General features: G+C 36.0%; 1 long non-coding RNA gene across 2 annotated transcripts in view; it reads right to left on the bottom strand.

Moving 5' to 3' along the window:
* The window catches only part of LOC105378072 (uncharacterized), a 91,283-nt gene extending 78,063 nt beyond the window's left edge, over positions 1-13,220 (bottom strand). For both annotated transcript variants that reach the window (XR_001744424.2, XR_007059824.1), the window contains exon 1: positions 13,142-13,220. This is a non-coding gene — a long non-coding RNA (uncharacterized LOC105378072). The remainder of the gene's footprint in view (positions 1-13,141) is intronic.
* Between the last annotated feature and the right edge of the window lie 919 nt (positions 13,221-14,139).

Here is a 14,139-nt window from a genome sequence, read left to right as displayed (position 1 = left end):
TTCTCACTTAATACTTTTAGCATTAATTGATCCCATCACCACTTTGATATTGTATGCTTTCTGTATTAGTCCACTCCCACACTGCTAGGAAGAAATATCCAAGACTGTGTAATTTATAAAAGAAAGAGGTTTAACTGACTCAGTTCCACATTGTTGAGGAGGCCTTAGGAAACTTACAATCAAAGGAGAAGCAGGCATCTTCTTCACAGGGCAGCAAAATGAAGTGAGTGCAAGCAGGGGAAATGCCACACACCTATAAAACCATCAGATCTCATGAGACTCACTCACTATCACAAGAACAGCATGGGGGAAACTGGCCCCATGATCCAATTACCTCCACCTGGTCCTGTCCTTGACATGTGAGGATTACGAGGATTATAATTCAAGATGAGATTTTGGGTGGGGAAACAGCCAAACCGTGTATCACTTTCCTTTGTGAAATATCTTTCCACATATGGTTAGATACTTCACAAAGGAAAGCTATGACTTATGAATCTCAGAACCCATTACCCCTTTGATATTCATAAGTCAGCATTCTACTGTGAGGAGGTGTCCCTGTGCCCTGTTTGTTTGCCTGTCAATTTGTTCATTTATTATTTATATCAGAATGGCTTTATACTTTTTTGTCAATGGATTATAATCCATTACTATCATTATTTACTTAGATTCTTAATTTGTCCTAGGGTAAAAGAGAGCCCCTTTTAGATGGTTCCTAGGTGCTTTTGATATGATCTTCATCATTCTTTAAGCCTTTCTTAACTTTGTGGCACAAAAGAAGCTCCAAAAATATTATGTGCTTTCCCTGCTCCATGCCTGGAATTATCCTTTCATTCAAGCAGCTCTGGTACCTTCTAGAACAGAATGGTAGTTTAAAACCAAGATCTCAGCACTGGGTGTACTCATTGCCATGTGTGACTCATGAAATTTATACACACACACACACACACACATACACACACACACCCCTATATTTATCTCTACAAAACTGTGAATTCATACAGATACCTCCAATTCCAGTTCAGCACTACTGGACACATTCTATATTTTCATGTCATAATTCTACACTCCAGTGAGAAACCTGCCTCTCGATATTATTTTTATTTATTTATTTATTTATTTATTTATTTTTTGAGATGGAGTCTCTAGCTCTGTCCCCAGGCTGGAGTGCAATGGTGCGATCTCGGCTCACTGCAACCTCTGCCTCCCAGGTTCAAGCAATTCCCCTGCCTCAGCCTCCCGAGTAGCAGGGACTACAGGCATGCACCACCACGCCCAGCTAATTTTTTGTATTTTAGTAGAGACAAGATTTCACCATGTTGGCCAGGATGGTCTCAATCTCCTGACCTCGTGATCCACCTGCCTTGGCCTCCCAAAGTGCTGGGATTACAGGTGTGAGCCACTGCACCCGGCCATTATTTTTATTTTATTTCTTGTGTCAGTTTTAATATATGTACTCATTTGTTCAAGTCTAGAAAATGCAAAAAAAGTAATTTCAGAATTGCTAACCCATGATGCAACAAAAAGTAAATCTACTAACAAGAGTTCAATTTTTCAGTTTGACAGTTTTTAACATAACTTTTACATACATATAATTCAGTTTCTTTTTCTACGTGGACATACCTTCATAAACAATACAGGAAATATCCATCTCATAAAATTAACGCATGCTTCCCAGTTAATTCTTTCCACCCAGAAGTAATCACTTTTCTAATTTGTTTTCACTAAGGATTCATTTTGCCTAATTTGAACGACTACAAATGGAAAGATACAGAATATTCTCTTTTGTGTCTGATTTCTTTTGCTCAGCATATTTTTGAGAATCATTCACGTTATTGTCTGTATCAATGGTTTGTCCCTTTTATTAATAATTAGCATTCCATTCTGTGAATATACGGCAAATTACTTATCCATCCTTCCATTGATAGACTTTGGGTTTTTTGACTACTGTGAATAAAGTATCTATAAATGTTCTTCTGAGAAAAATGCCACAGTAGAATACTGAGTCCTAGATATGTGTATTTTTCTCTTTGTAAGAAATTATCAAAATGTTTTTCATAATGGTTATACCTTTGCACTCTCCTACCATCTATGTAAGAGAGTTCCAATTCCACATCACTGCCAACATTTCATGTTTCCAGTGTTTTTAATTCTAGTAATTCTAAAGAGTTTGTAGTGGTATCTTGTGGTTTCAATTTGCATTTCTCTGAGGGGTAATTTTGATCATTTTCATGTACTTATTGATCATTGGAGGTATCTTTTTTTGAGGTGACTGTTTAAAGCTTTTGCTCATTTTAATGATGTTTTTGGCTTTTTAATTAAAGTTAAAATTAAAATTAAATTAAAAATTGAAGATACTGAAGTTTTATATTTTCTGGATATAAACTAGATGCTTTGCAAATTTAGTTGAGGTCAAATATTTAGTTGTAATCTTGCCTATTCATTTTCTTTAACAGTTTCTTGTGATGAGCAAAAGTTTTAAGTGTGATGAGCTCTAATTTATCACGTTTTTCTTTTAGGTTTATTGCTTTTTTCTATTCTCTCTATGAAGTTATCATCTACTTAAGTTTGAAAACAAATAGTCGAACGTGTTCTTTAAAAGCGTTTACATTCCTGATTTTGTCTAAAATTAATTTTTGTGTATGGAATGAGATAATATTTGAGGTCCATTTATTTCCACACTGATTCCTTGTTTGTCCAGCACCATTGGTTGAACAGACTGTCCTTTCTCCATTAATTTACCTTTGCATCTTGGTAAAAAATTAATGGCTCCTGTATATGAGCAAAAATTAACAGGTCCTCTATGTTTATTTCTGAACCCTATTCTGATCCAATAATCAATTGGTTATCAATTCACCAAAATCACACTGTCTAAATTACAGTAACTGTACAGTAAGTCTTGAAATGGGATAGTATAAACTGTACAATTTTGTTATTCTTTCTCAGCATAATTTTGACTATTCTTGATTGTTTCTGCATATAAATTTTAGAATCAACTTTTCAATTCCTACCAAAACTTACCTGGTGAAAGTATAACTAGCATTATATTTCAACTAGCAAAGAATTCACATCTTATTGAGTCCTCCAATCCATGAACATGGAATAACTCTTCATCAATTTACATCTTTTAAAATTTGAGCATTAATTGTAGATTTAGTATAACAGCATTGCCTACACACATTGAATATATTTTTAATTATTTTATATTTTTTACACTATTGTAAATGATATTTTAAATTTCATTTTGCAATGCTCATTAACTGCTCTGTAGAAATACATTAAAATTTGCCTTTAGGTTTTGTATCCTGTGACCTTGTTAAATTCCTATATTTATTCAGATTTTCTTCTCACAAAACCAGTCTGTGAACAAAGACAGTTTTGCTTTTTGCTTTTTGATATATGTGCCTTTTATTTATTTTGCTTCTGCTTCATTGCACAGGCTAGAATCACCAGTTTAATGTTGGATATATCATAATTGGTGGAAATGTTCATCCTTGCATTGCTCCTACTCCTGGGGAAAGCTTTCATTGTTTGACCATTATGTTAACGTCAGCTGTAGGCTTTTCACATTTTTAAAATTAAATCGAGGAAGTCACCTTCTATTCTGGTTTGCCGAGGGGTGTTTTTGGCAAGAAAATATCAGATTACTGAGAATTTAATCACAATTTCCAAATGTTCTGAAACTATATGAATGTAGCAAATGCCCCTTAATGCATTGCGTTTAGATACATCTAACCTCTTTCTGTTCAATATGGAAATGTGCATATTTTGTAAGTCCTCACAGATGTAACAGTAGGGTAACATTTTAATTCATTTCCAGATAAACTTTCTCAAATCCAAAAAAACAAAAGAAAAGAAATGAAAATAGAGAGCATTATTTAAATCATGAAGGGGTATTAAATATTATCAAATACTTCTTTGTCATCTGAGATATTATGACTTTTTAAAAATTCTGATAATATAGTAAATTATATTAATTGATTTTTGAATGTTAAATTAACCTTGCTGTCCTTGGATAAATACCAATTTATCATAATATATTATTCTTTTTATTAGAACTATATTTGATTTACTCATGTATTGTTAAGGACTTTTATATTCATTTTTATGATGGATGTTGGTCTTGTACTATGTTTATCCTGTTTTATTATCAGGTTTATGCTTATGTCATCCTTTATTTTCTGACTGAGTTTGTGCACGATTGTGATTATTTCTTCCTTAAATATTTGGCTTGGAATATTCTATGTAGGAAAGTTTTTAATTATGAACTCAACATTTTAACAGATATAGGTGTGTTCAAACTTTCTCTTTCTTCTTGTGTCAGTTTTGGTAATTTGTGACTCTCAAGGTATTTACCAATTTGTACTAAGTTGTAAATTTATTGGTATAAAGTTGTTCACATTTGCCTAAATATTCTTTAATCTCTGTGGGCTCCATAGAGACATACCTGTTCATTCTGATATTGTAATCTGTGGTTCTCCCTTTCTCTCTCCCCACTCTCTCTTTCTTTCAGCCTCTCCCCTCCCTTTCTCCTCTCCTTCTTTCTTTTTTTCTTGACCAGTTTTGCTATGGGCTTATCATTTGAAAAAATATTTTCCAAGCAATTACTTTTGTTTTTGTTGCTTTTCTCTATTATTTGTCCATTTTCTAGTTCATTGATTTTTGCTAGGAGCAAAATCTTAATTACACCATTCCTCTGCTTACTTTGTTTCTAATTTGCATTCCTTTTTCTAATTTATCATGTTGATAACTTAGATTGTTAACTTTAAGGTTTTATTCTTTTAGAATGTAAGTCTTTAAAGGAAGCTATCAAGGCCCAACTAATCATTGCTTTAACTGTATCCCACAAATTTCACTATAATTCAGTATAAAATATTTTCTAAATTATATTGGGATTTATTCTTAGTCCCATGTGTTATTTAAAATGTGTTTCTTAATCGACAAATATCTAGGATTTCCCTGATATATTTTTGTGATTGATTTCTAATTAAATTCTGGTCAAAATAGAAAATGTATTGAGGAGTATTGAAATCCTTTGGTGTTTATTTGTATTAATTTAGTGAATGTTCTATTCGCATTATACTTGGGAAGAATGTGTCTTCTGTAGTTCTTGGGTACAGTGTTCAAAATATGCAAATTATGTTCATTGGTTTATAGTGCTGTTCAAGCCTTTTACATTGTTTCTAAATGTTATCCATTTGTTCTGTCATTGCCTGGAAGAGGAGTATTAACTTCAACTGTAATTGTAGATTTGTTCATTCCTACCTTTTTAATCTCAGTTTTTCTTCCTTTTTGAATCTCTGCTGTTAAGTGCATGTTTTAAGATTGTGACGTCATTATGATAAATTTATTATTTAAAAATTCCTCCTTATCACTGACATTTATGGAATATCTCTCTACTTTTTAAATTCCTGAACATTATAAAATATCTATTTCTGTCACCTATGAAATATTTATGTTTGTCTATAACATTTTTTGATGTGTAATTTATCTGATATTAATATAGGCACTTTAACATTGTTATTATTGGTGTACTTTTTCTATCCATTTACTTTTTTTTTGGTTTTTGTTTGTTTGTTTGTTTTTGGAGACGGAGTCTCTCTCTGTCACCCAGGAAGTGCAGTGGCGCGATCTCGGCTCACTGCAAGCTCCGCCTCCCAGGTTCATGCCATTCTTCGGCCTCAGCCTCCCGGGTAGCTGGAACTACAGGCACCCACCACCACGCCCAGCCAATTTTTTGTATTTTTAGTAGAGACGGGGTTTCACCATTTTAGCCAGGATGGTCTCGATCTCTTGATCTTGTGGTCCACCCACCTTGGCCTCCCAAAGTGCTGGGATTACAGGTGTGAGCCACCACGCCCGGCCTCTATCCATTTACTTTAAGCTGTCTTAGTATTAAACCATTCCTCTTATAAATAGCATACAGCTAGATTTTGATTTTTTTAATCCACGCTATCTGTGCCTTTATATCAGTTTATTTATTACATTTACGTATAATGTAATTATTGACAGGTTTAAGTCTTCTATCTTGCTGTTTTCAACTTACCCCTCTGTCTTTAGTTCTTTTGTTACTCTTTTCCTACCTTCTTTGGGATAATTCATTTATTTTTGTTATTTCATTTAATCTCTTATTGACTTTTTAGTTATATATTTTTTCTTTTTTTCAAATTTATTTTAATGTTCCTTTAAAATTACAATATATTTTTTAACTTATCATGATCTATTTTCAAATAATATCATATTCTTTCATAAACTATGTAAAAGAGTTCCTTTATTCCTGTGTAAAAACCTTGCAATTGTGTAATTTTATTGATCCCTCTGCTCTCTGGTATGCTCTTATTGTCATATATATTAATGTTTTATTTCTACATTTGTGGAAAATCCTAAATTCATTGTTATTGTTTATATATTAACAATCAATCATCTTTTAAAGATATGATCAAAATGAAAATGATTATTTTATGTTTACCCCAATATTTGCCATTTCTTGATGCTTTGTATTTAATCTTATAGTTCTCAGTTTCTAATTAGTATCATTTCCTTTCAGACTAAAAATTTTTTTACATTTTACATAGTGCAGATCTACCTGTGACATTCACTCAACTTTTCTCTCTCTGAAAGTATCTTTATTTCATTCTCAGTTCTTGAAAAATAGTATTGCTTCATGTAGAATTCACAATGACTATTTTTTCCTACCCCTTACACATTGTCTTCAGGCCTCACTTGTGTGTCATATACTACTGGCCATTTTTCTGATTGCTGTTCCCCTATATGCTCATTATGCCTTTTTCTCAGACTGCCTTTAAGCTTTTCTCTTTATCTTTGGTTTAAAAAATTTTATTATGATGTGCTTCAGTGCTATTTTCTTTGTGTATTTCCTGCTAAAGATTCATTGACTTTCTTAGATTATGGGGTTTTGAGGTTTCCTTTAAATTTGGACACTTCTGTCATTATTTCTTCAAATATTTTTTCCATTCCAATTGCACTTTCTTGTCTTTTAGAATTTTAGTTTCATACAAGTTAGTCCACTTTATAATATACTACAGGCCACTGAGTTTCTGTGTATTATGTAAAGTCATTTTTTCTCTCTCTCTGAATAATTTGTATAATTTCAGATTTGTAAAATTTGTATAATTTATAATTTCTAAAACCTCAATTTGTATAATTTCTATTGCCCTGTTGTTACAGTTATCAATGTATTGGTTCCCAGATTTAAATTTGCCTTTCAATACCTACTTTGTAAAAATGGTTGGAAGTCTTGTAAGCATTTCTCACTTAGGATAATATTAAGCTTCTCAGTAGATGGTGCTTAAAGAGCATTCAGAAGTAAGGGGCTGTATTAGTCTGTTTTCATGCTGCTGATAAAGACATACCCTAGCTGGGAAGAAAAAGAGGTTTAACTGGACTTATAGTTCCACATGGCTGGGCAGGTCTCAGAATCATGGCGGGAGGCAAGAGGCTCTTCTTACATGGTGGCACCAAGAAAATATGAGGAAGAAGCAAAAGGGGAAACCCCTGATAAACCCATCAGATTTCGTAAGACTTATTCACTAGATTTCATAAGACTTATTCACTATCACAAGAATAGCACGGGAAAGACTGGCCCCCATGATTCAATTACCTCCCCTTGGGTCCCTCCCACAACACATGGGAATTCTGGGAGATACAATTCAAGTTCAGATTTGGGTGGGGACATAGCCAAAACATATCAGGGCCTTCTCTTGTTGGTCTGATTGCTGCACAATTGGTCAGTGGTGCAAATATTGTGCTCTGCCCTAGCCATGTACTCAAAATACGCAATCTGTCAGTAATTTTGCAATCCCAGCTCAGCATGGTTATCACCCTCCCACAGCCTTTCCACTATGCTCCAAACTTTCAACTGCATCGCAACCTGACTCCTTCTGTATGCCTGCCCCTGTATCCTTCCCCAACTTCAGAAGTTTATTTTCTGTGAACTGCTCAATGCAGATACTGCATACTCAAGGCCATCCACCTGCAGCAGCATCCCAACTTCCTCTGTGCACTAGCTCACTGCTACAGCTCACTTATCCTCTAGAGGTGTATTTCCCATAGCCCTCCAGATGAAGACGCCAGATTTACTGTAAGCACCTTCTCACCAGCTGTGGGTTACCTGCATCCCAGATGGCTGCTTCCCGGTTGCTTGGTGACTGTGGACCAGCTTTGGCCTAGGAAACCCAGAAAACTGATCTGCTAGCCAGTGGGCTGCACCTCTACCTTTTCCAACAAGGTCTAAACCTCAGCTTCCAGGAAGGCTCTGCCTTTCAAATTTGTCCTTTTTTCTCTACCTTCCCTCAGTCCTAGGTGACCTTTTAGAATTATTTTACACTTTATAGTCTTCTATTGATTTCTGCCTTTTCACTAGACTGACTGATACGCCTGTTTTCAAGTTCATTAATCTTTCTTCACTGGTATTCGATCTGGTGTTAAATCCACCCAGTACAATTTTTATTTCATATTTTGTATTTTGAAATGCTAAAATTTACATTGTCATGATTTTTATTTCTTGCTTGGGATTTCCTTCCTATTTGTTTACTTCCTATTTTCCTTTACTTCTTTAATTCTGCTTCTTTATAAACAACTAGAAATTTTAAGAATGTGGAATATGTGGAATATTGTTGGTGCTATATATTTAAAGTTCTGCATTATATTGTTTTTCTTAAAGAATGTAGTCTTTTTATGGCATGCTTTATGCTGTTGAATTTTACTTGGAGCCTTTAGTATACTGTATGTAGGGCTAACATAATCCTACTCTTAAGTTATAACTTTTTGTTGATCTCATTCTCCACTCTGGCTACCCTTTCGGAAGCATTTCTCTGTCAGCATTATCCAAACTCTTTATGGGTTTTTTTCAGGTCATAGCCCCTAATACTTGTTCCCTACTAGACATCAGCTTCCCACAACATGCTCAACTTAGTATCTGGCCAAAGACTCAAAAAATTTCATTACATTTTCTTGGGTTCCTTTCTACACAACATCCTTCTCTCTGGGAACTTGCCTTCAATAGCCACCTCATCTGCCTCAATACCACTCTCTACTGCCTCTGTCCAGAGAGACCATTGTTCTCGATTTGGGTTCAATTTCCTGTGCTGGGTTTGAAAAGAGCCCCCAGAAGAAAATCTGTAGTCGGTGTTGAGCACACCTTTTGCATTTTCATATTTTCAAAGATCACAACCAGACTGCCTGAAAATGATTGTTTCATACATCTTGTTCAGTTTTGTAGAATTTTTTAAATGTAGGTAAGTCCTATTCCAGTATTTAAATACAGCCAGAACTTGAAGTTATTATCTTCTTTTAAAATGAATTTGTGTGTATGTATTTTAGATTTCATACTGTAAAATAAAATATACATAGTAAAACATTTGGAAAAACAAACAGAAAAGAGGAAATCATTTGTAATTCCAACATTCATAGGTAACTACTGTTAACATTTTTATTTCTGTCTCTTCTACATATATATATATACAGAAGTGTATATAGGTAAAACTGGATTTGCATGATATTACATAATACCTACTGTTTTTATAATCTCTTTTCCCACTCCAACCTTATTATGAACACTTCCATGTCATAAAATAATTTTCCACAACCAATAAGACAACATAATTTTTAGACAACGAAATCTTTCGTGAAATGTGAAGACCACCAATAGAATTATAAATGGCTGCACATCTAATAAAACTCTGAAGTTTTTCTCCAAATTTTTTTTTTTTTTTTTTTTTTTTGAGACGGAGTCTCGCTCTGTCGCCCAGGCTGGAGTGCAGTGGCGGGATCTCGGCTCACTGCAAGCTCCGCCTCCCGGGATCACGCCATTCTCCTGCCTCAGCCTCCCAAGTAGCTGGGACTACAGGCGCCTGCCACTACGCCCGGCTAATTTTTTGTATTTTTAGTAGAGACGGGGTTTCACCGTTTTAGCCGGGATGGTCTCGATCTCCTGACCTCGTGATCCGCCCGCCTCGGCCTCCCAAAGTGCTGGGATTACAGGCGTGAGCCACCGCGCCCGGCCTTCTCCAAATTTTAAAGAAATAATTTCAGGTGAATCAATCTATCATTTATGTATACCTGTTTTATTTATTTTTCTTCCCGTTAGATCCAGTATTTCCTGTAAGCTTTGCACTCTAATTGCATTTAGAAAATTAAGCTAAAAACATTGTAACTGAGTAATTTCTGATGTCAGATTGACAAAACTGTAAAGGCTTATGGCTTATGGTACACAGTTCTACACATCCAACAGCCTGATTGGGTTCATTGCCTAAGTCACCCTAGTTTCTTCCAAAATCATTAAAAAATACCAAGCAACCCTGCAATATAACTGAAGCTTTAAAGAGAGGAAGCCGTCCTCAATTCAGAAGCAATAAAAGGTCAGTCAGCTTCATGGCTGTCTGCTTTACAATTTTTTTAGTGACTGAAAAATATCGGCTTTCTCTCTTTTTGTCTTCCTTTTTCTTGCATACATGCCATACATAGCCTTAGATGCTACAATCTCAGCAAATAGGTTTTTATCTAAATCCATATTTTTTCAGTGTTTATAGGAAGGTAGAAATGAAAGAGTTCTGATGCTTCACTGTGCAGAAGCCACCTCTGAGCTAATTTCACAGGCAAGACCACAGCTGCTGTTCACCCACATTTGAACTGGCTCAATATATCCTGTCTATTTGGGTGGATGTTATTGACTTGCCTCATTTGTCTGTGCTAACAAGATCTTCTTGGAGAAAGAAATAGAAGAAGAGAAGTGGGGATGGAAAAAATAAGCAAAATAATAATAATAACTTGAAATTGTTACACAGATCCAGCAGGCTATTCCCCCCTGGGGCCTCTGTTTTGATTCTATTATTTTGTTACCATGAATCTGTGTGGCTTTCCTACTTCGTAAGTTACGGATTACCTTAAAGAAGAAATTCGGTTTTGCTCATGTGGACACACCCAATACCCCAGTCACCCTATTCCCCCCGCTTCAGTTGAAGTAATCTAACTTTTCTTCAAGAGCTTTCTACTCATTCCATTTTTATTAATGGTATTTTTGCTCCTGAGCACATTCTTTCATATAAGGACTGCATATTTCATCGTTTAATTTTGCTTTGCACAAAGAAAATATTAACCCAAATTAATGAAAATGACATAATGCATCTTTCACGTTTAAGGAAGTCCCCGTTGATTCAGGCAAAAGACTCACATTTTTGCGGTGAAGATTAAATTTGTCAGAGATTACTGCCTGCTCAACCATAAATCAGACTATGACAGGCACAGGCTATCAAATCCATGACATCATACTAATTCCCATTTTAAGCTGTGACTGAAACCCAGTATTTTAAAACATATTCTATAGGCTCTGATTAATTCTTGACATAGAATCAAAATTCAATCAATCATTTTACCTACACTGTCTTTTTAAAAAATTTGATATGAATGATTTTTCTATTTACTATATTACACATACACACACATATGTTACAAACACAAACACAATAATGACCACATTTGTGTCACCTAGATGTTAGCTAGAATGACCTGCCCTTTAAGATATACATGATATTGATTACAGCGCATATAGAAGAGATTGATTACATGTTACCTTTCATAAGTTATGAGAAAGGTCTGTGTATTTCCTAAGAACTCTGCAAACTCCTAGAAAAGTTAGGATTTAGTGGCCACCTCTGTTTTGGCAAATTTGTTCTATTTGACCATTTTCCCGCTCTACACATACAGTGCTGCCCATGCAGAAGTCATTCGTGGACAGCTCGGTTCTTCCTTTCCCATTCCTAAGTGTCGGAGACCCAGAGCTCTCCTTCTGACACCTTCCCTCCTCCACCTTCCTTTAATCCCTTGGTGACCTTATCTAGTACATGTCCTTAAATATCATCCACGGACTAATGCATTGGTTTTGTATGCTGCTGTCACAGATTGCCACAAACTTGGTGGCTTAAACCAACAGAAACGTATCCCCTTACAGTTATGGAGCCCAGAAGTCCAAAGTCAGTATCATTGGGCTGAAATCGAGGTGTCAGTAGGGCTGCCCTCTCTAAGGAAGCACTAGGGAAGAAGCTGTTGCTTTTTCATTCAGCTTCTGGGGTCATCAGCATTCCTTGGCTTCTGGCTGCATCACTGCAAGCTCTGCCTCTGGGGTCACGTTGCCTTCTCCTCTTCCGTGAGTGAGAACCTTCCTCTGCCTCTTATAAGGACACTGGTGATGGACTTTAGTGTCTCCCAAAATAATCCCAGATAATCTCTTCATCTCAAGATCCTTAATTTATTCACATCTGCAGAAACACTATTTTTCCTAGAAAGTAACATTTACTGGCTCCAGGGTTTAAGACCTGCTAGTTCTAGGGAGAAGGCATGTATCTTACTAGAGCTGATAACTCAGAAATACATACCTACAACCTCATGTCTCAACACTCAAATTAAACAAAGCCATAGTCCCTCTGGTCTCTTGTGACACTTCTCTGATCTCGTTCCCCACCATCCATCCACATGTTCCCATGTCTAAGCAGGCTGAATTCTCTGCTGCTCTATTCTCAGGGACTTAGAATTTGCTTCCTTATTCAGTTCTATGCTCGAATGTCACTCTCACTGAGAAGTTGTCCTAATGACCTCATCTCCCTCTCTGTCTCCCTCCCCGTCTCTGTCTTTTCCTCTTCTTCTCCCTCGTCCCCTCACTTCTCCCATCATTATTCCCCATTCCTTATGTACCTCCTCTTTGTACAAAATCACTTCCATCTCTAAGAAGAAACAACACACAAAATATGCGAAAGAGGCATGTGACCCTGATCAGGACAATAGAATAGTTATCTCCGTCTTATTAATAATCCAATCACCATACAACATTTTATGCAGCCATAAAGGTAAAATACGTATTACAAAAACAAGCCACAGGTAATCATTATGAGAAATAATACAGTTTTTCCTAGTCTCTTTTTAAATATTTCTGCACTAAAAGAGTTAGCCCTAGACACAACTGAAGTAGATTAAAAAAAAAAAATAAGTGTGCTTTAGGTACCTAGTCTCACCCTTTGCTGAGTTCTTTCTTCATCCCTTCTCCCATACCTCAAGCCTCCTGCTAAGAAACTTTCTTAATTAAATACCCCTTTCTTTAAAAAAAATAAATAAATAAACACAAGAAACTTACGAAAATAGCAGTTCCAGCTACATAATTTGCAAGGTCTGGTGCAAATCGCATATGTGGGTCCCTTGTTAAGAGTCTCAAGAATTTCAAGATGGTGGCAGCGGAGCATTAAACCAACTGCCAAAGCCTCCTAAGCAAGGCCCTATGGGACTGTGCAGGTCACAGGGCCATGAAGTCAGGCCTAGACAATATGCTGTTTCATGAATATTCCTTAAGTATTACCTTTTTGTGTTACTTTGTGTTTTTTAACTTTTTATTTTGAAATAATTATAGATTCATAAAAACTTAGAACATTAGGGCAGAGAGATCTCCCTCTCATCTTTACCTTATTTGTTTTTTCACTAGGATTTGTTTTTAGGGGCATAGCCCAGGGAATAATTATTCTTCCTGTTGAGTTTGAGGCACCTGAAATCTGGTGAACTGATTCTAGTTCCCAGGACACATTGGGCTCTAGAGGCCTTCCTTGACCAACACAGTGAGTGGTGCTCTTTCCTTGTGCTTCTAGAATATCTTGATCTTACTTTTTCAAAGCGTATGTCAGACAGCACCCCAACTGCCTGCAGGCTTCTCTCTCATCACCCATAAATCACCTGTAAGAGGCGAGAGACCATGTCTGTTCTAAGACAATTCCAAGACTCTGGCTCTGGCAAGTGCTTGGCACATAACAGATGCTCAATAAACACGTGCAGCCGCAAGCCAGCAAATAACCCAACTAGCTGGCTATTTTGAGAGGCCCAGTGATGACCAAATTCATGGCGTTTACTAAGATTCTTGTTTTATTGCAGCCCAGTTTTGTAGGCATCCTTTATATGCAGTCTGTAAATGTTAGATTGAATTTATGTTATTAGCTTGTAATTCACAAATGAAAAGTAGGATGATGTGGCAGCTGTTCAGGAATTTGGATGGTGCAGGGGGCTTTATTGTAAATATCAAGTTGGGCCTTAGTTGCAAAGCTTGTATGGCCTCTTCCCTCAGAAGACTGCTGTAATGATTTTTAGCAC

The sequence above is a fragment of the Homo sapiens genome, chromosome 6 (genome assembly GCF_000001405.40).
Source record: "Homo sapiens chromosome 6, GRCh38.p14 Primary Assembly".
Classification (NCBI taxonomy): Eukaryota; Metazoa; Chordata; class Mammalia; order Primates; family Hominidae; genus Homo; species Homo sapiens.
The sequence above is the reverse complement of the archived record's forward strand: the minus strand, read 5'-3'. Positions and strand labels throughout refer to the sequence as shown.